The following is a 26,414-nucleotide window of genomic DNA, read 5'->3' as shown; positions in this document are numbered from 1 at the left end:
TTCTAATTGTTAATTTTTTAGTGTATAGAAATGCAACTGTTTTTTTTGTGTTGGTTTTGTGTCCTGTAACTTCTAAATTCATTTATTAGGTCTAATAATATTTTTTGTGAATTTTAGGGATTTTCTGCATGTTAAGTTCATGTCATTGGCAAATAGAGATAATTTTACTTCTTCCTTTACAATTTAAGTTTACATTTTATTTTCTTTACTTGTTAAATTGCTGTGGCTAGAACTTCCAATACTGTGTTGAATAGAAGTGGTAAAGCTTCTAGACTTTAATAATTGAGTATGATATTAGCTGTGTGTTTTTCATATATGACCTTTATCATGTTGAGGTAGCAATCTTCTATTCATAGTTTATTGTTTGTTTTAATATGAAATGTGTTGAATTTCATCAAATGAAATGTGTAGAATGACTTCGCATAAATCGAGATGAGTATGTTTCTTTCTTACTTTCTGTCTTTCTCTCTCTCTCTGTCCCTTCCTCCCTCCCTACCTCCTTCTCCCCCCTCTTTCTTTCTTTCTTCCCTTTCTTCCTTTTCTTCCCTTTCTTTTCTGTCTTCTGACTGGGTCTCACTCTGTCACCTAGATCACCAAGGCTGGAGTGCAGTGGTGTGATCATAGCTCCCTGCAGGCTCGAACTCCTTGGCTCAATTGATCCTTCTGCTTCAGTCTCCCAAGTAGCTGGGAAGATGCACGTGACCATGACAGGCTTCCCTTTGTTTTTATTAAACGATGTATAATATCGACTGATTCTCTCTCTGTGTCTCTTTCTCTCTCTGTTTTTTTTTTTTTTTTGAGATGGAGTCTTGCTCTGTCGCCCAGGCTGGAGTGCAGTGACACGATCTTGGCTCACTGCAACCTCCACCTCCTGGGTTCAAGCGGTTCTCCTGCCTCAGCCTCCTGAGTAGCTGGGACTATATGCATGTGCCACCATGCCCAGCTAATTTTTGTATTTTTAGTAGAGACAGGGATTCACCATTTTGCTTAGGCTGGTCTTGAACTCCTGACTTCAGGTGATCCGCCTGCCTTGGCCTCCCAAAGTGCTGGGGTTACAAGTGTGAGCCACCATACCTGGCCAAGATGTTCGTTTTTTTTTGTAGTGTTTTTCTCTAGCTTTGGTATCTGAATATTTTAGAAGGGTTTGAGAAGTATTGGTGTTATTGTTTTTTAAATTTTTGGTAGAATTCAACAGTGAAACCACCTGGTCCAGGGCTTTTATTTTTATTTTTATTTTTTTTGGTTGGGAGGATTTTTTTTTTGAAATGGAGTTTCGCTCTTGTTGCCTAGGCTGGAGTGCAATAGCACGATCTCGGCTCACTGCAACTTCCACCTCCTGGTTTCCAGCAATTCTTCTGCCTCAGCCTCCCAAGTAGCTGGGATTACAGGCATGCGCTACCACGCCCGGCTAATTTTGTATTTTTAGTAGAGATGGGGTTTCACCTTGTTGGTCAGGCTGGTCTCGAACTCCTGACCTCAAGTGATCCACCCGCCTCAGCCTCCCAAAGTGCTGGGATTGCAGGCATGAGCCACTGTGCCTGGCCCGGTTGGGAGGATTTTGATTACTGATTCAATCTCCTAATGGCATTCATTTATTCAGTTTTTCTGTTTCTTTGTTATTCAGTTTTTGTAGGTTGTGTGTTACAAGGAATTTGTCCTTTTGATCTAGGCAATCCAATTGGTTGGCATGCAATTGTTTATAGTATTCTCTTATAATCCTATTGATTCATGTAAAATTGGTAGTAATGTCCTCTCATTTATTTCTTTTTAAAAAAATTTAATTTTTTTAATTTTTGTGGGTACATAATAGGTATATATACTTATGGGGTACATGAGATATTTTGATACAGGCATACAATGGTTAATAATCACATCAGGGTAAATGAGGTATTCAATCATGTCAAGCATTTATCATTTATTTGTACTGTAAACCAATTATACTCTTTTAGTTATTTTAAAATATACAATAAATTGTTGTTGACTATAGTTACACTGTTGTGCTATTCAGTACTAGATTTTATTCATTCTAACTATATCGTTGTACCCATTAACCATTCTTACTCTCTTCCCTCACTCCCCACTACCCTTGTCAGCTTCTGGTAATCATCCTTCAACTCTCCATCTTCATGAGTTCAATTGTTTTAATTTTTAGCTCCCACCAATAAGTGAGAACATGTGAAATTTGTCTTTCTGTGCCTGGCTTATTTCACTTAACACAATCTCCAGTTCCATCCATTGTTGTTGGAAATGACAGGATTTCATTCTTTTTTATGGTTGAATGGAGTACTATTCAGCCATAAAAAAAGAATGATTAGATCTCATTTGTGGTATTTGTGAATGACGTGGTATATGTACCACTTTTTCTTTATCCATTCATCTGTTGATGGACACTTAGAGTGCTATAAGAAACATGGGAGTGTAGATATCTATTCGGTATGCTGATTTCCTTTCTTTTGGGTATATACCTAGCAGTGGGATTGCAGGATCATACGGCAGCTCAATTTTTAGTTTATTAAGGAAGCTCCAAACTGTTCTACATAGTGGTTGTACTAATTTACATTCCCACCAACAGTGTACGAGGGTTCCCCTTTTTCCACATACTCGCCAGCATTTATTATTGCCTGCCTTTTGGATAAAAGCCTTCCTTTCCTTTCTTTCTTATTTATTTATTTATTTATTTGAGATAGGGTTTTGCTTTGTCATCCAGCCCACAATGCAGTTGTAGGATCATCACGCACTGCAACATCGAGCTCCTGGGCTCACGTAATACTCCTGCCTTAGCCTCCCAAGTAGCTGGGACTACAGGCATGTACCACCACACCCAGCTAATTTTTATTTTTTGGTGGATATGAGTCTCACTCTGTTGCCCAGATTGGTCTTGAGCTCCTTGACTCAAGTAATCCTCCTGCCTTGGCCTCTCTAAATGTTGGGATTATAAGCATGAGCCACCGTGCTCGGTCCCTAATTTTATTCCTGATTTTAATAATTTGTGTCATCTCTATTTTTTCCTATTCAGTCTAGCTAAAAGTTTGTCAATTTTGTTGATCTCTTTAATCTTTTGGCTTCATTGATTTTCCTTATTGTTTTTCTATTGTCTATTTTATTGATCTGGGGACTATTTTTTATTTTCTTTCTTCTACTATCTTATGTTTAGTTTTCTCTTTTTCAAGTTTCTTAAGGTGTAAAGTTAGATTACTGATTCAAGATATTTCTTCATTTTTAATGTAAGCATTTACAGCTATAAATCTCCCTTTCAGCACTGCTTTTACTGCATGCCATACGTCTTGAAAATTATGTTGTGTTTTTGGTTTCATTTATCTCAAGATACTTGCTATTTTATCTTGTGATTTCTTCTTTGACTTATTGGTTGTTTAAGAGTGAGTTATTGGCCGGGAGCACAGGTTCACACCTGTAATCCCAGCATTTTGGAAGGCCGAGGCATGTGGGATTGCTTGAGCTCAAGAGTTTCAGACCAGTCTGGGCAACATAGTGGGAACCCGTCTCTACAAAAAAAAAAAAAAAAAAAAAAAATTAGCCGAGCCTAGTGGTACATGCCAGTAGTCCCAGCTACTTGGGAGGCTGAGGTGGGAGGATTGCTTGAGGCTGCAGTGAGCTGAGATTGTGCCAGTATACTCCAGCTGGGGCAACAGAATGAGACCCTGTCTCAAAAAAAAAAAAAAAAATAGAATATAATTTCATGTGTTTGTGAATTTTCCTGTTTTCTTATATTATTAATTTCTAGTTTAATTTCATTTTTATCAGAAAAAATATTTTGCATGACTTTAAGCTTTTAAAATGTATTAACATTTGTTTTGTGGCCTAACATGTTGTCTGTCCTGGAGAAATTTTCATGTGCATTTCAAAAAATGTGTGTTTTATTGTTGTGGGATGGAGTATCCTTTATATATCTGTTTGTTCCAGTTGGCTTATATTGTTGTTCAAGTACACAAATTCCTTACTGATCTTCTGTCTGGTTGTTTCATCCATTATTGTATCTATTATAGTATAACTATCTGTTTCTTCCTTCGGTTTTATCAGTGTTTGCTTCACCAGCTAGGCACGGTGGCTCACGCCTGTAATCCCAACACTTTGGGAGGCCGAGGTGGGCGCATCACTTGAGGTCAGGAGCTCGAGACCAGCTTGGTCAACATGGTGAAACCCCGTCTCTACTAAAAATACAAAAATGAGCCAGGTGCGATGGCGGGTGCTTATAATCCCAGTTACTCGGGAGGCTGAGGCAGGAGAATCGATTAAACCCAGGAGGCGGAGGTTGCAGTGAGCCCAGATTGCATCACTGCACTCCAGCCTGGGTGACAGAGCGAGACTCCATCTCAAAACAAACAAACAAACAAAGACATACCTTTGCTTCATGTATTCTGGGGATTTCATGTTTGTTGCTTGTATGTTTGTAATTGCTGTGTATTCTACGTGAATTGCCCTTTTAAATATATATTATCCATTTTGTTTGATATTCCCATTTTGTTCTTTTTCTTTCTTTTTTGGGAGCGGGGACAGGGTCTTGCTCTGTTGCCTAGCCTGGAGTGCTGTGGCACTATCATAGCTTACTGCAAGCCTTGACCTCCCAGGCTGAAGCCATCCTCCAGCCTCAACTTCCCTCCAACCACCTTAGCTGGGGACTACAGGCATGCACCACCATTCCTGGTGATTTTAAATAATTTTTTTTTTGAAGGGGTAGAGACAACTTCTCACAATGTTGCCCAGGCTGGTCTCGAACTCTTGGTTTCAAGCAGTCTGCTTGCCTTGGCCTCTCACAGTGCTGGAATTACAGGCATGAGCCATGGCACCTGGCCTCCCCCATGCCTTTTATTCCCTTATTTGGGTTTTCCTATCAGTGCCTCTTTTCCTAGCCTTATCTTCTATTTTTTCTTTTATATTTTGCAGCTGTTTTTCTCCCTGTGCTGTGCTCTGGATGATTTCTTCAGATCTGTTTTCTAGTTTGCTACTAGTATGTTGATGGTTATTTTCTCTTAGCAAGTAAAAACTAATAATCCATTTTTTGGCAGTGTTGTTGTTGAGCAAATGGCTGTCATTCTGATTCTTGTTTCTTTTGAGATAATCTGTGACTGGTATATGGATTCTAATTTTTACTATTTTTTTGAATATTTAAATTATTCATATTTAAAAATTACTTTTTGGAGTGTAATATAATCCTAGATCTTACAGAAGAGAACCCACTTATTTGCCTTGACTGCTGCCTGGCTCTCATATTGGTTTCCTAGTGTGGTTTATAATTTTCAACTGTGAAGTTCTGGGTGGCAGTTGTTTCTTTGGGATTCCCTTATGTGCCCTGGGTTATAGAGGTGTTCTTATGGGGCATTTTTTTTTTCCTCTTCTTAGAGCTTGCGTGGTGCTGGTTCAGGATTAGTTTTAAAATTAACTTTTAGAAACCTTTGTGAGCAGTATAAACTTGAACTCTAATTAGCAAAAGCTTGTGGTTCTGGATAACTTTATTTTACCACAATGGGAGACTCTCTAGTGTATTCCTACAGTGTCATATGCCAGTAGACCTCATGAAGGGACCTCATTCCAAGCTCCCAGCTCCTAAGTAATGTCCCTTTGCCTGCTGATAAAATTCCAACTACCACATATAGTCAATTCTTGTTATTCATGGTAGTTATGCTCTGTAAAGTCAATGTAAACATTTAGTTAGTGAATACTGAACCATTTCTCCTAGAGGAAATACAGGGTTAGGTACCTGTGAGCCTCTCCACGTTTTCAGCAGCCATCAATACATAAACTTGTTTTACCTGGTTTCTGTTTAAAGACCCCATATTTTATCATATATATAGTTGATTCATTAACATTGAATTCATGGCTAACAGCACTAGAAGCTGTGGCTGAACGAAGCTTATCTAGCACCTACTTGTTTTCTCTGTAAGGATGTCTCAGCCTTCTTTCCTTTAGGACCACCAGATAGTACTTCAGCACTATGCTAAGGGGCCATGTTAAACAGCTAACCCATCAACAAGAAGTAGAAAAATGTGACAAATGTGGCACTAAATAGACCAGGAAAAGGACAATTGTTTTATAGTATGAGAGCTGAAACAAGAAGGCAGTATCCCCCTTTTCAAGCTCAGAATGTATATATTGGTGACTCACATTTTTCATAGCTATTTGCATGTCCATGAATGAGTGGGCAAAATGTCGTAAGTATTGATTTTGGTGTTGCAAGTACATTTTATTGACTAGGCAAATTTGCAAATATAGAATCCGTAAATAATGAGAACTGAGTATATCTAGTTCTAATCTCTCTACTGCCTCAGCTGCTGCTCTCTGTTATGGCTTTGAATTTGTTCTTCATTTCTAGTACTTGGGAGCTTCTTTTTCTTGCTTTCTCAGTTTGCTATGTATTTTAAAAATACACACATGTTTGTTGCCCTTTTACCCAGTATTTTTATGTATTTGGATTAGGAGGAAGATATTTTGGTTAAATCAATCTGATTTATAGAGTAGCTACTTCATTTACTCATTTTAAAAAGGAAAAACATATACTCAAGAGTGTTAAAGAGAAGAGACCTTGAGGATTATCTTGTTTATTGGTTCTTAACATGGGTTTCTTAGGGCATCTGGAACTGTAGAGATTGTACAGAAGTTTATGTTACATATATCTTTCTGGGAAGAAAGTATTTTTTATATTCTCAAAGGGGTCTATAACCCTTTAAAAATGCAAGAACCAGGCTGGGCGCAGTGGCTCACACTTGTAATCCCAACACTTTGGGAGGCCAAGACAGGAAGATTGCTTGAGCACAGGAGTTTGAGATCGGCCTCCTCAATATAGTGTGACCCTGTCTCTACAAGAAAAAAATAAAAAAATAAATAGCCAGGTGTCATGGCGCACAGCTGTAGTCCCAGCCACTCAGGAGGCTGACGTGGGAGGATCACTTGAGCCCAGGAGGTTGAGGCTGCAGTGAGCTGAGATCATGCCACTGCACTCCAGCCTGGGCATCCGAGCTAGACCCTGTCTCAAAAAACAAAAAAACAAGTGCGAGAACCACTGTCCTAGTCTAGTTTCACTTCAAATTTATAGGCTAACTGCGTATATCCTCATTAGTTCATATCAGTCTAGTTAATAGCAACGTTAGCCAAATTTTAAAATAAAAATAACTACATTTAGAAAGTGATTTATTTTCTTTTCTTTTTTCTTTTCTTTTCTTTTCTTTTTTCTTTTCGTGAGATGGGGTCTCACTCTGTCACCCAGGCTGCAGTGCAGTGGCACAGTCTCAGCTCACTGCAACCTCTGACTCCTGAGCTCAAGTGATCCTCCCATCTTAGCCTCCTGAGTAGCTAGAACCACAGGCACACACCACCACGCCTGCCTGATTTTTTGTATTTTTGGTAGAGACGGGGTTTCACCATGTTGGCCAGGCTGGTCTCGAACTCCTGAGCTCAAGTGATCTGCCTGCCTCAGCCTCCCAAAGTGCTGGGATTACAGGCGTTAGCCACTGCCGCACCCAGCCAATTTATTTTTTGTGAAAGAACTTCACCATGACATCTTATTTTAATCCCCCCACAAGCCAATGAGGTATATGATATTATGTTTCTTTCACAACTGTAGGAACTAAAGGGAAGCCACAGTAACTGGTAAGTAGTAGCATTTTTTTGTTTTTGATTAATTGAGGCCCAGGGAGGCAAGTTAACTTGCCCAAACTCATGAAACTGATTTGTTCCAGAGGCAAGACTAAAACTCCTGTCTTAGTGATATTTCCACTACCTCATTTTGCTTTGGAAAAGCACATAACCTTACCAGGTGGTAATGTGATGAGTCATTGAAACTAATAAATTCATAAGTATAAAGGGATGCATGTGTTAAGAGAACATTTTTTATTTCAAACTGAAAGTAGTCAAAACCACAAAGCCTAGGAATCCCTCGGGCATTTTTATTGTGTAATCTGCTTTAGAATTAGAGTTGCATCCATGAAGTTTTGAGTCATATTGAAACTTAGCTACCTAAGTTTCTTCCCAGTTAAAAACTAGGTGCAAATGGAGTTATACACAATACAGGTAAATATATATACCTGTACTTGTAGATAACGTTTTATACATGTTTTCCTGTTCTATACATGTTGCATTGTAGTTTGTCTCCTCTATAAGTGGAAACTAATTAGGACTTGAGCTTCATTATTTCCTTTTCTTGATACACCCTTTTTCCACTCCCTGGGTTGATCAGTACCTTTGGCACTAATATCTCAGAACAATTTTCTATAGGTTATCCTTATGCAGCTTTTATGGCATAATGGATTACTGGCACAATTCACATGGAGTTTCGTATATCCATTCGCTATAAATTCCTTTTTTTTTTTTTTTGTTGACATAGGGTCTCGCTCTGTCACCCAGGCTGAAGTGCAATGGCATGTGATCTCACCTCACTGCAACCTCTGCCTCCCGGGCTCAAGCAATTCTCCTGCCTCAGCCTCCTGAGTAGCTGGGACTACAGGTGCACACCACCATGCTCGGCTATTATTATTATTATTATTTTTTTTTTGGTAGAGACAGGGTCTCACAATGTTGCCTAGGCTGCTCTTGAACTCCTGAGCTTCAGGCAATCCGCATGCCTCAGCTTCCCAAAGTGCTGGGATTACAGGCGTGAGCCACCACATCTGACCCACTCTATAAATTCCTAATGTAATACAGCTATAGTAATGAAACTGTAAGCTGTGCTAAATTTTTGCAACATTTATTTAATATTCCTGGGACCACTGAAATGGTAGTAAACTGCTTATATATTAAAGTGGATTTTGGGGCTGGGTGCAGTGGCTCATACCTGTAATCCCATCACTTTGGGTGGCCAAAGTGGGAGGATCACTTGAAGCCAGGACTTCAAGACCAACCTGGGAAACAAAGCAAGGGTCTGTCTCTACAAAAAATTTTAGAAATTAGCTGGGTGGAGTGGTGTGTGTTTGTAGTCTTAGCTATGTGGGAGGCTGAGGTGGGAGGATCACTTGAGCCCGGGAGGTCAAGGCTGCAGTGAGCTGCAATCATGCCACTGCACTCCAGCCTGGGTGACACAATGAGACCCTGTTTCAAAAAAAGAAGATGAATTTGGGGAAAAAGTAGATTTAATTTTTCGGACAGCTTCCATCTATTAAATTAGACCTTTAGAAATTAAAAAGTTGATTTACTCTTTTAAAGTCATACATTCATTTGGCTAACATTGACGACCTACTTTATACTGGACATTATTTTAGATTTTGAGATTATGGATAAGAAAAGCTTTTCTTTTCTCTGAAGCAGCTCATGTATTTTCCTTCTCCTTCATTCTTGCTCCCCTTCTTTGTATCTCCCAACTTCCCATTCCAGTTAGTTACTGATTCCTCCCCAATCTTTCGATAAAGTTTGTTATAATCTAATGCCTAGAATCTTTTTCTAACATTTGCTCCAGTAACGAGTAGTAGTCAGCTCCAGTAATGAAGAGCTCATTATCTTTACCTGGCTTCCCCCTAAAAGCAGAGAGAGCTTGATGCAGAGGCTTGGGAGCAGAGGTAGTTTAAGTGGAAGCAAGAGTGAGGGACAAAGGAAATGATCAATGCAGGGAGTGGAAAAGAAGTGAAATGGGAAAGGAGGAAAAGCCAATATTTGGATGCATTATTGAGTTGGCCAATGCTCAGACAACTAGTTTAATCATGCTGTAGCCTCTGAAGGGCCTTATGAAATATGACTGAGAACTATCCAGCTGGGGACTGAAGAGTGGAAGAATTTATTCAGCAGCTCCCTCACCACTGTATGTTTTAATTGGTTCTTTCAAAATTATTTCCATTGTTTTATTGATATTTTCTCTTTGGTGAGACATTGTTCTCAGTCTTTCCTTAGTTCTTAGGCATGGTGTCCCGTTGAGCATGGACTATTGTTTCCTGTGTCTTAGTCTGTCTCATAATTTTTTGTTGAAAAGTGAACATATAAAATCATGTGGCAACTCTGGAAATTAGATTTTTCCCTTCCCCAGGGTGGTTGTTTGTTATTGTATGCTTATTTATTGACTTTTTGGACTAATTCTATAAAGTGTGTATTCTTTGTTGTTAGAAGCCACTGAAGCCTCTGGTAGGTTTGCTTAGTGGGCAGCTAATGATTGAACAATGATTTAATTTAAATACTTTGAACCAATAGCCTTCCAGCTTTTGCTGCTGGTCATTGTGTGAATTGGGATATGCTTTCAACGACATTCACCTAGTCAGATGACCATTATGCCTTATGTTTCTCTTCCTGCTTGTGCAGAACCTCAAGGCTAAGCAAGAGGTGAGAGATTAGGAACTTCTTAAGTCTTTCATGGGCCTATGAATAGCCTGGAACATGCACATATTCTTTTTTATGACCCATGTCTTTCTAGATTTTACATTGCAACTTTTCAAAGCCCCCATGGGCAGGCCATTGTCCATTAAAAATTATTATGATTATTATTTTGAGATGGGGTCTCTCTCTGTTACTCAGGCTTCAGTGCAGTGGTATGATCACTGCTCGCTACAGTCTCGACCTCTTGCCACTTCAGCCTCCTGAGTAGCTTTGACCACAGGCATACACTACGTCACCCGGCTATTTTTTATTTTTATTTTTTCTAGAGATGGGGTTCTCACTATGTTACTCAGGCTAGTCTCGAACTCTTGGGCTCAAGCCATCCTCCAGCCTCAGCCTCCCAAAGTGCTGGGATTATAGGAATGAGCCACCAAGCCTGGCGTGTCTTGATTTTATTTAATTAATTATTATTATTTTTTTTTACCAAGTGTTTTGGTCAGCCTCTTGTTAATTTCAGCTTGTCACACTGCTTCAGGTCACCATAATCTTAAACTATTTCAGATGATTGTTTTTGACAAATTCCCCAATAGCAGTGTTGTTTTCACAGAATGAACTTAAAGTCAGAACAAACTAAGACAAATTTTGAGTATAGAGCTTATAGGACATATTAAACCGGATGGCAATTTTCTGGGGGTAGGGCCTTGTGAAACTTCAACCACATTCTGCCTTCTCTAGTGGCTGCTAAGCTGTTGATTTTCACAGCTGTTGTAGCTGTATGACTGTGGGTTTTCAGTGTTACTGCAGAGATGGAGATGGTGCTTTGATTAGCATACCTTAATATACCAAAAAGGTCACTGTTCTTATAGAGATTCAGTCTTTTTAAAATTAAATAAACAGTATTCAGATTGCTAAGCCCTTTGTTAATTTAAAGAATGCTAAGCCCTTTGTTAATTTAAAGAATATTCGCAATACATTTATCTGGCAAAAGACTCGTTTCCAGAATACATAAAGAAATCTTATAGTTTAGTCATAAGACAACTCAATTATAAAATGGGCAAGAGATTTGAACAGACCCTTCTTGAAAAAAAGATACGCAAATAATAAATATATGACATTTATATCATTAATCACCAGAAAAATGCAAATTAAAACTAGTGAGATACTATTACACACCCATTAGAATGACTAAAATGAAAATAAATAAATAAATAACCAGGTGTTGGCAAGTATGTGGATCATCTGAAATTATCCTACAGAATGCAAAATGGTATAATCATGTTTGAAAAAAAATGGTCATTTATTTTATAAAAGATTGATAAACATTTTTATTTGATACATATTTGTATGTATTTATGGGATACAGTGTGATATTTCAATATGTGTATATAATGTGTAATGATCAAATCAGAGTAATTAGCATGACCTAAAATATTTATCATTTCTTTGTCTGGGCAACATTCAAAATCCTGTTTTCTAACTATTTGAATGTATACAATAAAATATTGTTAACTATAGTCACACTGCATTGCAATAGAAAGTGGAACTTTTTCTTCTGTCTAGCCATAATTTTGTATACATTAACCAACTCTTCTTTGTTTCTTTGAGACAGGCCTAACCAACTCCTCTTTATCCCCTGCTCCTCCCTACCCTTCCAAGCCTCTAGTAACCACTACTCTATTCTCTACTTCTATGAGATCAACTTTTTTAGCTCTCACATACGAGTAAGAGCATGTGGTATTTATCTTTCTTGTCCCTGGCTTATTTTAGTTAACATAATGTCTTCAAGGCTCATCCGTGTTGCCATGAATGCCAGGATTCATGCTTTTTAATTGCTGAATAATATTTCACTGTGTATATATATTACATTTTCTTTCTTTCTTTTTTTTTTTTGAGATGAAATTTCACTTTTGTTGTTCAGGCTGGAGTGCAATGGCGTGATCTCGGCTCTCTGCAACCTCCGCCTCCTGGGTTCAAGCGATCCTCCTGCCTCAGCCTCTCAAGTAGCTGGGATTACAGGCATGCACCACCACACCTGGCTAATTTTGTATTTTTTTAGTAGAGATGGAGTTTTACCATGTTGGTCAGGCTGGTCTCAAACTCCTGACCTTAAGTGATCCACCCGTCTTGGCCTCCCAAAGTGCTGGGATTACAGGCGTGAGCCACTGTGCCTGGCCCATTTTCTTTACTCATTTATATATTGATGAACACTTAGGTCGATTCCATATTTTGGCATTGTGAATAGGTGCTGCAATAAAAATGATGCAGATATCTCTTTGATATACTGCTTTTGGGGTCTTTTGTGATTCCAGATAAATTGTAGCATTTGTTTTGATATTTCTGTGAAGAATGCCCTTTGCATTTTGTTAGGGATTGCACTGAAGTATAGATTGTTTTGGGTAGTGTGTTCATTTTAACAATATTAACTTCTAAAATTATTGAACATCGGATGTCTTTTCCTTATTTTTGTGCATCCTATTCACTTTCCTTCTTCAGTGTTTTATAGTTTTCCATGTGTAGATCTTTTACTTCCTTGGTCAAATTTATTCCTAGGTATTTTATTTTTTTGTAGCTATTGCAAATGTGATTGCTTTCTTTTTTAAAATTTTTATATTTTTAAGATACAGGGTCTCACTCTCACCTAGACAGGAGTGCAATAGCATGATCACAGCTCAGTGTAGCCTTGAACTCCTGGGCTCAATCAGTCCTCTCGCCTCAGCCTCTCAAGTAGCTAGGACTACAGGCTTGCACCACCACACATAGCTAATTTAAAGAAAATTTTTTTGTGTGGAGACAGGGTTTCACTATATTGCCCAGGCTGATCTCAAACTCCTGACCTCAAGCAATCCTCCTTCCTTGGCCTCCCAAAGCTCTGAGATTAAAGGCATGAGCCACTGCAACCCGTCGTGATTGCTTTTTAAATTTCTTTTTTTTCTTTTTTCTTTTTTTTTTTGAGATAGAGTCTCTTTGTGTTGCCCAGGCTGGAGTGCAGTGGCAGGATCTCAGCTCACTGAAATCTCTGCCTCTCGGGTTCAAGTGGTTCTCCTGCTTCAGCCTCCCAAGTAGCTGGGACTACAGGTGCATGCCACCATGCCTGGCTAATTTTTGTATTTTTAGTAGAGATGGGGTTTCACCATGTTGGCCAGTCTGGTTTCGAACTCCTGACCTCAAGTAATCTGCCCGCGTTGGCCTCCCAAAGTGCTTAATTATAGGCATGAGCTACTGCGCCTGGCTCTTGATTTATTTTTAGCTAAATGTGGCACTCGGGTTATGTATACTTACCAATTTACCATGTAACCCATGCATTGGAGAAATGAAAACATACGCCCTGAAGAGGCTTGTGCATGAATTTTCTTTGAAACTTTATTCACAATGGTGAAAAACTGAAACAAACACTGATGTCCATGAAGAAATGATAAATAAACACATTGTGGTATATTTACATAATGGAGTGTTACTTAGCAACAAAAACAAAAATTACTGATACAAGCGATAACGTGGATGAATTTTAAAACATTGTGCAGACCTAAATGAGTCCGATACAAAGGAGTCTATTTTATATGATTCTATTTTCATGAAACTCTCGAAAAGTATTGTGATGAAAAACAGGTGTCTACACTAATTAATCAATCTTGTTCATATTCTGTCTCATTCCCTTAAAGTTCAAAGTGCCTAAAAAGCACTATCCAACTACATTCTATAATGTGTAAGGGAAAGGTGAAGTAAAGACATTGTGGAAGACACATACATAAATAAGGTGATGGAGAGAGGACTCTGAAAGCTGGACTGAAAAATATTGACATAGTGGCAGAATGGACGGGGATGGGGAAGATAAAATGATGAGTTCACATTGTTTGGAGTGATGTAGTGAATTTAAAATGATGAAGAATTAAATGTGTCACACACGACAAGCATTTCTAGGTTATCTATGGATTCTTTGTAGTCTAGAAGTCATCCACTTCACTTGTTTATCTAAAATATATGAGTCTTTTCCAGGACTTTTCTCAGCACAAGGGACAAATGTATGGGAACTTGGACCTTGTTTCAAGAAGAGCTGTGAATTTATGCTTGTTCTTTTTTTTTTTTTTTTTTTTTTGAGATGGAGTCTCGCTCTGGCACCCAGGCTGGAGTTCAGTGGCATGATCTCGGCTCGCTGCAACCTCCACCTCCCAGGTTCAAGTGATTCTCCTGTCTCAACCCCCCAAGTAGCTGGGACTACAGAAGCCCACCACCACAGCTGGCTAATTTTTGTATTTTTAGTAAAGATGGGATTTCACCAAGTTGGCCAAGCTGGTCTCGAACTCCTGACCTCAGGTGATCTGCCCGCCTCAGTGTCCCAAAGTACTGGGATTACAGGCGTGAGCCACCACACCCGGCTGCTTGTTCATATTTTTGAATGGAATTTGTGTGCATTGTTTCATTTTTTGTTCATTTGATTCTAAGGTGAGGACAGTATTTCCTACTTTTATGTAGTTGGGAGCAGTAAATGGAAATGTTTGTGGAAAGCTCCTCATAAAATTTCAAGGCCTTTTGTAGATATAGTGTTTTAAAGGCCCAGAGTCTGGAGAAAAGAAGAGATAGGTACAAATAATGAAAAGGGAGACTAGATGCAACTTCTTCCTTATTCCATGCCTTTATTTTCAAAATACTATAAATGTTGAATATTATAGTATTTGTGGTTTCTGAAATTTTGAGATAATTTTAAGAAGAGGAATAATTAATAACTGTTCCTTCCTTGGCTCAAATAATATTTAGGAAATACTAGTAGGTGTGGAAGAGCAACACAATAAATGTTTTTATTTAATTTCCCTGAGCATAACAGAGAGCAGATGGGGAATTCTGGGCCTGCCCTTTTTTACTGTTAGCCAAGGAGAGCAGAAAAAATAAATTGTTTTCCAGACATGGAGCCAGTTTTGTGTTCTCGTTGCTGATGTACTGTGAAAGGATTTGAAGGGTGTGCATGCACTTGTCACATTCATGTGGCTTAGATTTGTAGTGGAAAATGTTATTCTAGATTGTCAAAATTGTGAGAAGCCATGCTAACCTGGTCTGTGTAAAAATGTCATTATTATTGTTATTATTACTATTTTCAGTGATTCGTTCAAAGAGTTAAGACTTAAAATTCTGATAATAAGTATTTCTGAAAATGAGACAAAGACAAAATGCTAATAAAATTTTTGGCTTATAATTTGTTTCAGCCAAATGCTTGAACTTGTTTTATTGTGTTTTTGCTTAACGATGTCAGCTTTTCATTAAAAGGACTCAGTGTGGTTGCTTGCCTTGTCTCCATTTTCCTTGGTCTGAGAGCAAATACTCAGGCTCAGTAAGTCCATGCATATGATAGGTTTGAAAATGCAGGATGGAGGAGGATGATGAAACTAGGGAGAGAAAGAAGAAATCGGAAAAGAGAGCCAAAAATAACCAACAAGCTTAAGCTTTCCTAGAACATGGTCTAACAGGTTAGCTTTGTTGGTAAGATCAGTGTGCCTCAAAGTTAAGGAGTATATGAATGCCCTGGGGCTTGGATAAAAATGTAATTTCTGATTTGTTAAGTCCAGGGTAGGGCTTGGCAATGTGCATTTCCTTCCACCTCCCAGGCGATGATGATGCTGCTGGCCTTAGAACCACTCTTGGAGTGCAACAAGGGTCAAAAGTTGGGTTGGACCTCTTGGTGGGGGCATATTTAAAAAATCTCAATAAAGATAACTTCTCAAAAGTATAGCTAAACATGATTTAATTTTATACCAACTTATACACTAAAATATATTCTAAAATTCAAAATCATTGACCAAAAATAAAAGCATTTGTTTGGCCATGTCACCCTGATTGTTTTCATTCGTTGCTTTCTTAGGTCAGGTCTCTTGATAAATACTCTGTGAACAAGTTAAGGAGTCTTCGTCTTCCAGATAGCATCCTAACCCAGGCTGTCATCTGGTTAACATGTAAAATGTCCAGGTGGTACCTGTATCATCATGGATAGGGCTCTGGAGAAGCAGACAGACCACCTGGCTTCTATTTCCAGCTTTGCCACCAAGCTCTGGGACTTTGAACTCCACACGTATAAAATGGAAAGCATCTAGTGTATTGCCCATAATAGGGGTTTAGGAAATGTGTAAGGAGACCCTCTTAAGAGTATATCTAAGTAGTTTCATGTCTTCCATGCTTTGAGTGGAACAGGTCAGAGAGGAGAGGTGTTGAGGATAAAAACATGTCCCGTAACTTTTAAGGACTTTACTGAGATGCCCCATCCTTTCTTCTTGTGATTTTAGTTGTTCAAACTTTCTTCTACTGCATATCTAATCTTTTGTTTTATTTCATTAAATGCTAGTTGCAACCTGCTCAGAGCACTTACCTTTGGTTTTCTTTTATCTGCTCTTATAGAGATGAGGAAATAGATCAAAGCATAGCATTGTTGAACATTTCTCTTGTTACCCTTCCTTTGCAGATTATTCTTCTGCTGTTCAGAAATTTTCCCAGACGCTGCAGTCATTTCAGTTTGATTTCATTGGAGACACTCTGACTGATGATGAAATTAACATCGGTAAGTCTTCAGCTACATGTGGTCATATACCTGTTGAGGCAGCCCTGAGACCATGTAGTCTTTTTGATTTGTGGATACAGAGCACTTGGACATCTTCATCCACTGTGGTCCAATGCCAAGGCCCTGGGAGGTTGATTAGGAAGGATCAGGAAACTTTCCCTGCCAGTCCCATTTCCTCCTCACACGACAGCAATCAAAAGATACCCTTAAACTTCTACTGAGATTTTTGACTCAGACAGTCTGCAAGCGACCTTTTCTTTAAAGCATAGTTATTTTCCTAAAGGATATATTAAAAGGGGGACTTTTTTGGTTTATTTCCCAAAATGGTTGGAGTTAGATTCTTCTAAGGAATCAAATTTCCCTAGAAAGTGTTAAATTAGCATTTGTGTGTCTACAACTTATCAGGAACAGGTTGCTTAGCATCTCTCTTGGGAATTGGATTTAACAACTCACTCTATTAGTTGTATAATCTTGGAGAAGATATTTCTGTCTCTGAGTCTCATCTTGTCCTCTGTTAAAATGGGGTTAATATCTATCAAAGATGTTAAAAAGAGGAGGTTGAATAGTAGAAGTCAAAAGAAGTTTGCGTTTGTATTATTTGTTATGAAGGTAAAGAGGAGAGGTTAACAAACCCCTGGGCCTATTCCAGCTCACCACCTGCTTTTGTAAATAAAGTTTTATTGGAACATACCCATACTCATTTATTTAAGCGTTTTCTATGGGTATTTTTGTGGCACAAGAATAGCACTGAGTAGTTAGTGACCACCACTGGATGGTCCTCAAAGCCTAAAATCGTTATCTTCTGGCCATTTAAGAAAAAGTTTGCTGATTCCTGAGTTAAAGGGTTAGTGTAGAGCATTTGCTAGATGAGAACACTGAACCAAAGAGCTATTATGAATGATCTATTGTTACTGGAACAAGTTAGTAACACAGTTATATTTATTAGCCCTGGAACTAAAATGTGAAAATGTATTATTATTAATAAATGCCTATTATAGTCAATTTTAATAATATATAAAAGTATAAGTTACTTATGATAGGAAGATATTCCTGCACAGAAATAGTATCTTGGACATACTTTTATATTATCCTTTAAGTCTTTTTCTCTACATATATCTGTTTTCTTTGTATGCAATGTAGTTCATATTAAATATATAATATTATCTTTCTAACCAAATATTTTATTATAAGCATTTTCCCATGTAATTTAAGATTTTTCACAAGTTTTATGGGTGGTTTGTATGGCCTTGTTTTGTTCACTACTGTTTTCCCAGCACATAAAGGAGTGCCTGGCATACAGTAGATGTTCAATGAAATGTTGGTAAATGAATGAGTAATGGATACATTCAAATTTCATTATTATGAGAGCTATACTTCATTTAATATTTAGCTATTCTTGGAAATATAGCTTATTTCCATTTTTCACTATTATAAGTAATATTTCAATGAACATTTTTTAGATTTAGATTGGTGACCATTTTGGTTAAATGTGACTGTGTAACTAGTGAGTCAGATATTTGTATTTGTATTATTTTCTTATTCACTCCATTTTATTTTACTTCAGTAAATCTATCCAGGTCCAAGTGCATGACTATTTAAAAGTTAACATTATGGGCTCTGGAATCAAGTAACCCAAGTTTGAACTCTACCTCTACATCTTAATAGCTCTGTAACCTTGGCAAGTAACTTCACCTCTCTAAGTGTTAAATTTTCTTATCTTGTAAAATGGGGATGAGATAATGCCAAGTGTGCATAGTGTCTAAATGAATGTTAGGTATTTCAACATTATTATTAATATAAGATATTTTTGTACTTCTTTTTAAAAATAACTGCTACTTGCCTATCAGTTGGAAGATTGGGAGATACATGGTACATGAAATTATATAAATGGCTCCTTTTTCTGGTATAAGGGTCTGATTTTGAACAGGTGCCTATTGATACCAAAGCCACCAACAGATCTGAGACTTTTCTCATGTCTTCCTTTATGTTGAACTTTGAGCCTTAATTCTCTTAATCCCATGAACCTCACTGCAAATGTCAATGAGTGCTATGCAGGAAAAAGGGTGTGTGAGCCTGGGCAAAATGACTTATAAACAAAAGAAAAATGACTCCTTGGTGATGCCAGGTTCCTGTGGGGGTCTGTGGGGCTCCATCAGAGCTGCTGATTATGACATCTTTGCTGCTTTTTTAAAAAAAGAAAGAAAGACAGGGTCTTGCTCTGTTTACCCAGACTGGTCTTGAACTCCTGGGCTCAAGCTATCCTCCCACCACCTTGGTCTCCCAAAGCTCTGTGATTACAGGCATCAGCTACCACACCCAGTCTTTTGCTTCTTTTTTTTTTTTTTTTTTTTTTAAGATGGAGTCTTGCTCTGTTCCCCAGGCTGGAGATCAGTGGGCTCACTGCAACCTCTGCCTCCCGGGTTCAAGTGATTCTCCTGCCTGAGCCTCCCGAGTAGCTGGGATTACAGGCACCCGCCATGATGCCTGGCTAATTTTTGTATTTTTAATAGATACACGGTTTCACCACGTTGGCCAGGCTGGTCTCGAACACCTGACCTCAAGTGATCCAACCCATCTTGGCCTCCCAAAGTGTTGAGATTACAGGCATGAGCCATAGTGCCCGGCCTTTTTGCTTCTTAATGTATGATTTATAATAACTCTTTAACTCAGTGATCATTTGCCTGCCAATTTCAGAAGCTCCTACTTATCATTTGAACACTGCTTTTAAGGATGCTGACTTAATGAACTGACTTTCATTATTGAGGACCAAAGAGAGGTTTTGAAAATTCATTGGCCTGTCATGGTCATTGTCCTTGTTGAATCTCATTTTGAAAGCTGGGAATTGTGGTGGTAGTGAGAGGAAGAGCCAGTACTCCAACAGCTGAGGCTGAGGCTCTCTGGAGGCTTCGAGAAAAAAATACTGGGGACCCTACTGGGAGGCTATTGTTGGGAAAGAGCAGTTGCTTTGGAAGCTGAGAACGCAGAGTGTGCCATGCCCTCCTATTGCCAATACTGCTGGCCCTGAGTCAATACATCTTGTTTCACTGGAAAAAAAAATTGCTTAAAGCACACTTTGGATGGAATTGTGATACCCTTTTGGATTTCACATTATATGTGCAGAGGGCCTTCTCATTAAAAATTTTTCATTATTGGCTCCAAAAGGTCACTCAGTAGCATTGTAGGTACTCGTTATTTAGCAGAAATGACAGTGCTTCCTAGAGCTCATGGAGAAAGCCTGAGGATTCTGAAGAGTTCCTCCCCCTGACGATCAGCTCTAGGACTTACCCTGAATAGTTTATGTCTAACAGGGACAAGTGGGAGGCCATGTGTCATTGATCTGACCGTGACTTTTTTCACTGCTTTAGAGTTAGACATCTATGCCTTCTTGGCATTGCCTTGTCTTTACCTCTATGTCTCTGTAACCAAAGGAAATCCCAGGTGTCTAAGAAGTCTTGTGTCTGCTTAGATTTGAGTTTTATATGTTAGCTATGGGATCTTGGTAACATTAATTGAGCTTGTTGAGCATCTGTTTTCCACATCAGTATAGTGGGGGAGTATAATCCACCTCACAAGGTCATGAGGAGCAAATCAGATAATACTTATATCAGAGAGTGTCTGTAAATCATTTAGCTCAGTGTCTGGCATATAGTTGGTGCTCAATAATTCATTGTTATTGATTCTACTAGGAACACTATAGAAGGTAATTTGTGGAAAACAGTGTTGGTTTGAAATTATATTTCCCAAATTAACCAAAGGAAAATATAGGATTGTAAAATGTCCATGTTGGCAGGGACCTTAAATAGTATTTAGTTCATTATTTCTCGTATAACTTCATATCCGAGTCACCTGAGGATCTCGTTTATCCTGTCACAGGACCTACCTTATACCTAAAGAATCAGAATTTCTATAGCGGAGCCCAGGGCCTTGATTTTTACATAGTCTTTATAACATCAGCGAGCATTTTGTAACCCCAGGACAGATCTCAAGCTTTTCCAAACTGTGCTCCTTGGATCCTCAGTGTCTCCCGTCTTTCATGATCAAATGAAACAGCGGTTTATATTGGGCTTTCATGTAAGAATTTGCTTGAAAAATGGGATTTGTAGATTAAACGAGAGAAACAGACACTTTTAGAGTGCTCCCAAATAGCAGATGTCATTGTAAGCACTTTATATAGACTAATGAGAGAAAGAGAGACAGAATAGTAGCAAGTTTATCCCTCAATTCAACAGATGGAGAAACTGAGATCCAGAGGTAGGGATGTGATTGTGGAAGGTACCACACAGCTACATAGTACCAGATTTACTATTAGAGCCTGAATCTCCTAAGGCCCAATTGATTCATTCAATAACATTTTATTGAGCATCTGCTATAAAGCTTGTCCTCATGGACTTCCCAATCATACAAGTTTTGGCATAGGCAAATGACTTGCAATGTCACCATAGCACCATGAGCTAGAAAGAGGCCTGTTTGCCACATAGGCTTAAGAGAATATGCTTACTTTTTTTTTTTTTTTTTTTTTTTTTTTTTGTGATAGAGTCTCACTCTTGTCACCCAGGCTGGAGTGCAGTGGCGTGATCTCGACTCACTGCAACCTCCGCCTCCCGGGTTCAAGAGATTCTCCTGCCTCGGCCTCCCGAGTAGCTGGGATTACAGGCATGCGTAAATACATGCCCGGCTATTTTTTGTAGTTTTAGTAGAGACTGGGTTTCACCATGTTGGCCCGGCTGGTCTTGAACTCCTGACCTCAGGTAATCCGCCTACCCTGGCCTCCCAAAGTGCTGGGATTACAGGCGTGAACCACTGCACCCGGCCAGGTTACTCTTTTCTCAGGATCCCTTATATGTATTTTTGTTCATTAGTAAATAGGTAGCGTGTCCACTAAATGACATAAACAAGGGATTCAGAGACATAGAACACATCTTCCTGCCTTCAAGGAGCTCATAGTCTATTAAAGGAGGTGGATAACTAAATAGGCAATGGTAACACAATGTGATAAGGACTATGGTAGAGGTAAGCACATGGTAGCCCCTAATTCAGACTGGTGTGTATATGTATTGGGGGACGGGATGATGCGGAGAATAAACATGGAAGCCTTCTCAGAGAAGTGATATCTGAGTCAGTTCCAGGGTTAAGGTGAAACAAGGCAGGTGGCTAGGGCTCAGATTTAAGGAGGCACTTACTCTCAGGGTTGTGCAAGTACAGGCTGGCACTTGAGAGTGAATATACCTCCTTAAAGTTTACAGCCTGGGTACCTGGGAATTATTTGGTGAGGATCTTCAGAGGGCCTCGTATTTTAACTTCAAATTTCAATCTTGTCATCAGCAGAGCATGGCATCCATTAGGTGAACCCTGATAGCATAGTTCTTTTATTCTGTGCATCTACCTTGCTACATCTTTTCCAGAAAATGTCACCCATGGGGTTTTAGTGGGTTGTTTGTTTATGCCTGGGGGAATAAAAGTCATGTTCTAAATCTCAGACTGTAAATCACATTTCCACCCCAGTTATGCTAACATATTTAAAGAAACACCTTTGTGGACCAAGAAGATTGATTTAAGGTCAGACTTCTAGATGGAAAGTTCCATCAGCCACCCATTACTGGTTTCTGAGACATGAGGGTTTAACATTGTCAGTCCCCTGATCCTGATTTTTGTTTAATGTGAATATTATTCATTGCTAAACAACTCACAGCAGATCATAAACCTCTTGGTTGAGATAAAGAAGGGACTAAGAAATAGTCTCTTGAGGGCTTTTGTTGGTATTTTTTTCTACAAAACCAGTTGAAGTATCTTTTGAGAAGTGGTGGCAAATGTCAGTTGTTTTAGAGTCCTGGAGGTCAGGCATCTTAAAAGAGGAATGGCTAAAATGAAAAAAGAAGCACTAATGTAAAAGATTGTATTTAAGTAAAGAGCCAGGAGTTGAATTCTGAAGGTTCAGTGATTTTCATGAGATTGGTGGGGGGAAAATCTTTTGGTTATACATCTTGAAGCTCTTAAGCTCATATGTCAGTTGGTGACATTGTTCACAATATTGATTATCTTTCATATAGGGGCATGCATGAACCAAATATTTTGCCAGACTTTCTTAGCACAGGCAATAGCTTTTCTGGGGAAAGTTCTAGCCCAATGCACCTTCTGCTGTGGTGATAAGCCCTTAGAGGTTTATATCAAGTTATTGGGCTTGAGTGCATAGGGCTTCTTCTCAGATCCTGAGGAAAAGAGAAAATACAAGGTAATCAGAAGTCTCTATTGGGATCTGGGCCGTCAGGTTTTAGTTCTCCATGACTCGAAGTCATATGAGAAGGTGATAATTGGGCTGGGTACGGTGCCTCATGCCTGTAATCTCAGCACTTTGGAAGGCAAATGTGAGTGACTCACTTGAGCCTAGGAGCTGATTCTAAATGCTTTCAGGGAAGCATCAGATTAAAACATAAAAACCTATGTGTAGATGAGAAAGGACTTAAAATGGCAGTGGCCAACTTATTACTGATCATTTTCAAAAGTGGAAGACTTGATGAAATTTTATTACCAGAAGAATAATGCAACTGAAAAATACATGGGATTTATGTGGCATATAAAACAAAAGAAATATCAATCCATAAAAAGATTTTACAAAAAATCTATAATCATAATAACACTATTTTCAAGGAAGAGTGAATATTATATTTATAAAAATTGGTAAACAACCTTTATGAAGAAAAAAGTCTTCAGACATAACATAATAATTCTGACATAATATACCATGAACATAGCAAGCTTATAGTTAGAATATACCAAGAATATATCAATAATATCAAGTAAAGCTGGGCTCAGCGATGCATACCTGTAATCCCAGGTACTCAGGAGGCTGAGGTGGGAGGATTGATTGAACAACCCCCAGCCACCCAAAAGAATATCAAGTAAAGAGATTGAGAAATCTTAATAAAACATACTGTGGAAAGCAAGAACATTGATCGTTCTCTAAGAACTTCCTGTATAGCATTCAATTTCTGAAATATGTACATTGGTAACGTTTAGCCCATTTAAGCTAGGGAAGTCTGAACATCTCTTTTGATTTCATGGTGCTTCCTGTGCAACTCAGACGATAAAACAAAAAGCACCAAAACTATGCACTGGACAATTAAGGAAGTTATTGCCATAGGGAGAACCTTTATTAATGAGGAACATCTCAAAGAAATGGAAGAAAATTGGGGTATTGTAGAGGCAGGTAAACAAGGGAGTCACCTGCAAGTCTTATGGGAGGCATGAAGAAGAATGGAGATTGATGCTATATATGAGGTGCAAAGTCTATATATAGACTTTGCAGTCTAACCATTTTTCAGAACACAGAAGGATGTGGGATGTCTTAACACTGGCTGCTTTCTTGGAGCCCTGGTCTCAGTTCCACACTCAGTGGTCCGGGATTCACAAAGCAGGGCACAACCCAGTGTCCTTTCAAAGCTCCCAGGCCCTCTGAGGTTCCACTGGGGAATTTGAGTGAAGAAGATGGCACTCATGCAGAGTGAGGAGACTGCTGAACATGAGCCCCCTATTCTCATAGGCTTTTTGTACCTTTTTGCCCATTTCCCTTCTGACTGATCTGGAGACTGACTGCTGGTTAAGTGCCAGCCAGGGTCAAGTAAGTGGTACAAAATGATCCCAAGACGTTCCTATTTGTTGAGAGATCTAGCAAAGTGAATGTCATTTTCTCAGGAGCATCATTTGGCAGGCCCAGGCTTCAGGCCTGTCTGCCATTTACTCTTTCTCCCTCATTAAGGTCTCTTGGACTCCAGTAATCTTTCACTCTGAGCTCTCTTCTCTATCCTGTTCCTGCCACCATATTGTATCCATAGCAATGACCCTTATATCTTGGCTCACTTTTCTTCATGGGGATATGGTAGGATTTAGAAACATGGTCTTGGATTTGGCTGGACCTGAGTTCAGACTCTGACCTGTTTATTTACTGACTACATGATCTTAGGCAGTTTTCATTAAAAAAAGTAATAATTGAGTTTATTGGTATCTTTGCATTATAATATAAACATGCTTTATTATAAAAATATGGAAATGAACAAAAAGATTATTATTAGCTTCCGTATACTGAGTACCTACTGTGTGCCTACTGCTTTGTGTACACTATCTAATTCTCAGAGCAATTTTAAGGAGGTGAATGAGGCTAATGGAGGTTAAGAAACTTGCCCAGGATCACATAGCTAATAAGTAGCTTAAGTGGGATTTTTTTTTTTTTTAATCAGGGTTTGGCTCTGTCACCTAGGCTGGAGTGCAGTGGCAGGACTGTGGCTCACTGCAGCCTTGACCTCCCAGGCTCATTTGATTTTCCCATCTCAGCCTCCTGAGCAGCCAGAAAGCACACCTCACCTGGCTAATTTTTGTCGCTTTTTTTTCCCTTTCTTTCTTTTTTTTTTGAGATGGAGTCTTGCTCTGTCACCCAGGCTGGAGTGCAGAGGCACGATCTCAGTTCACTGCAACCTCTACCTCCCAGGTTCAAGCAATTCTCCTGCCTCAGCCTCCTGGGTAGGTGGGATTACAGGTGCTCACCACCACCCCTGGCTAATTTTTGTATTTTTGGTAGAGATGGGGTTTCACCATGTTGGCCAGGCTTGTCTCAAACTCCTGATCTCAAGTGATCCACCTGCCTCGGCCTCCCAAAGTGTTGGGATTGCAGGTGTGAGCCACAGCACCTGGCCCTAATTTTTGTAGCTTTTTTCGTAGAGTTGAATTTCATCATGTTGCCCAGACTGGTCGTGAACTCCTGAGCTCAAGCGATCTGCCTACCTCGGCTTTCCAAAGTGAAGGGATTATAGGCATGAGCCACCATGCCCAGCTTTAAGTAGGTCTTTAAATCATTTCATTTTTGACTTTAAAATTTATACATATATGCACTCCATAACCGTGTTAATGTCATAGTAAATAATCAATAAATAGTTAAGCCTGAGAGCTAGATTTAATTAAAAAAAAAAGAATCAATTATTTTGATGTATTTTTTTCTTGGCTTTTTTGGGGGTCGAAACAATTTTCTGCATATAGCTGTACTTGTGTACAATTGTTGCATACAGATTTTTATATTCTGTTTTTAAATAGTGTGACACTCTAGCTATTTTGTCATGTACAGAAAATTTTGTGTAATTTCCTTTTTAATAGCTTCAATAATAGTCCATTAAGTGGACATACTTAATAATTTCCCAATCATTGGACATTTTATGTGTTTTCAATTATTCATCATCAGCAATAATGTTGAATGCCTACCTTTGGATATAAAGGTTTATCCCTCTGTATTCAGAATTAGTTCTTTTTGTTTGTTTGTTTGTTTTTTGTAGAGATGGGGGGTCTCACTTTTGTAGAGATGGCTCACTGTTGCCATCAGGCATTTGAGCAATCCTCCTGCCTTGGCCTCCCAAAGTGTTGAGATTACAGGTATTTTCCACCATGACCATGCCATGATTAGGTTTTAGGTATGGTTTCCCAGATACGAATTTACAATGTAAAAGGGTATAGATAATTTTAAGCTGTTTGATCCACATTTGTCAATTTTTACAATTGTTTGGAAGACAGTGCATAACACTGTAATTTATATGACCTTGCTAAATTAAACCTCAGTTTTCTCATCACTGAAATTGTAATGATGAATAATAAA

General features: G+C 38.8%; 1 protein-coding gene across 7 annotated transcripts in view; it reads left to right on the top strand.

Moving 5' to 3' along the window:
* OPHN1 (oligophrenin 1) overlaps nucleotides 1-26,414 on the top strand; it is a 391,498-nt gene that overhangs the window by 118,058 nt on the left and 247,026 nt on the right. For all 7 annotated transcript variants that reach the window (XM_011530961.2, NM_001437258.1, XM_006724653.3 and 4 more), the window contains one exon: nucleotides 16,688-16,783. In XM_011530961.2, coding sequence (XP_011529263.1) covers nucleotides 16,688-16,783 — 96 coding nt within the window. The remainder of the gene's footprint in view (nucleotides 1-16,687; nucleotides 16,784-26,414) is intronic.

The sequence above is a fragment of the Homo sapiens genome, chromosome X (genome assembly GCF_000001405.40).
Source record: "Homo sapiens chromosome X, GRCh38.p14 Primary Assembly".
NCBI lineage: Eukaryota > Metazoa > Chordata > Mammalia > Primates > Hominidae > Homo > Homo sapiens.
This window is presented reverse-complemented; position numbering and strand designations above follow the sequence as displayed.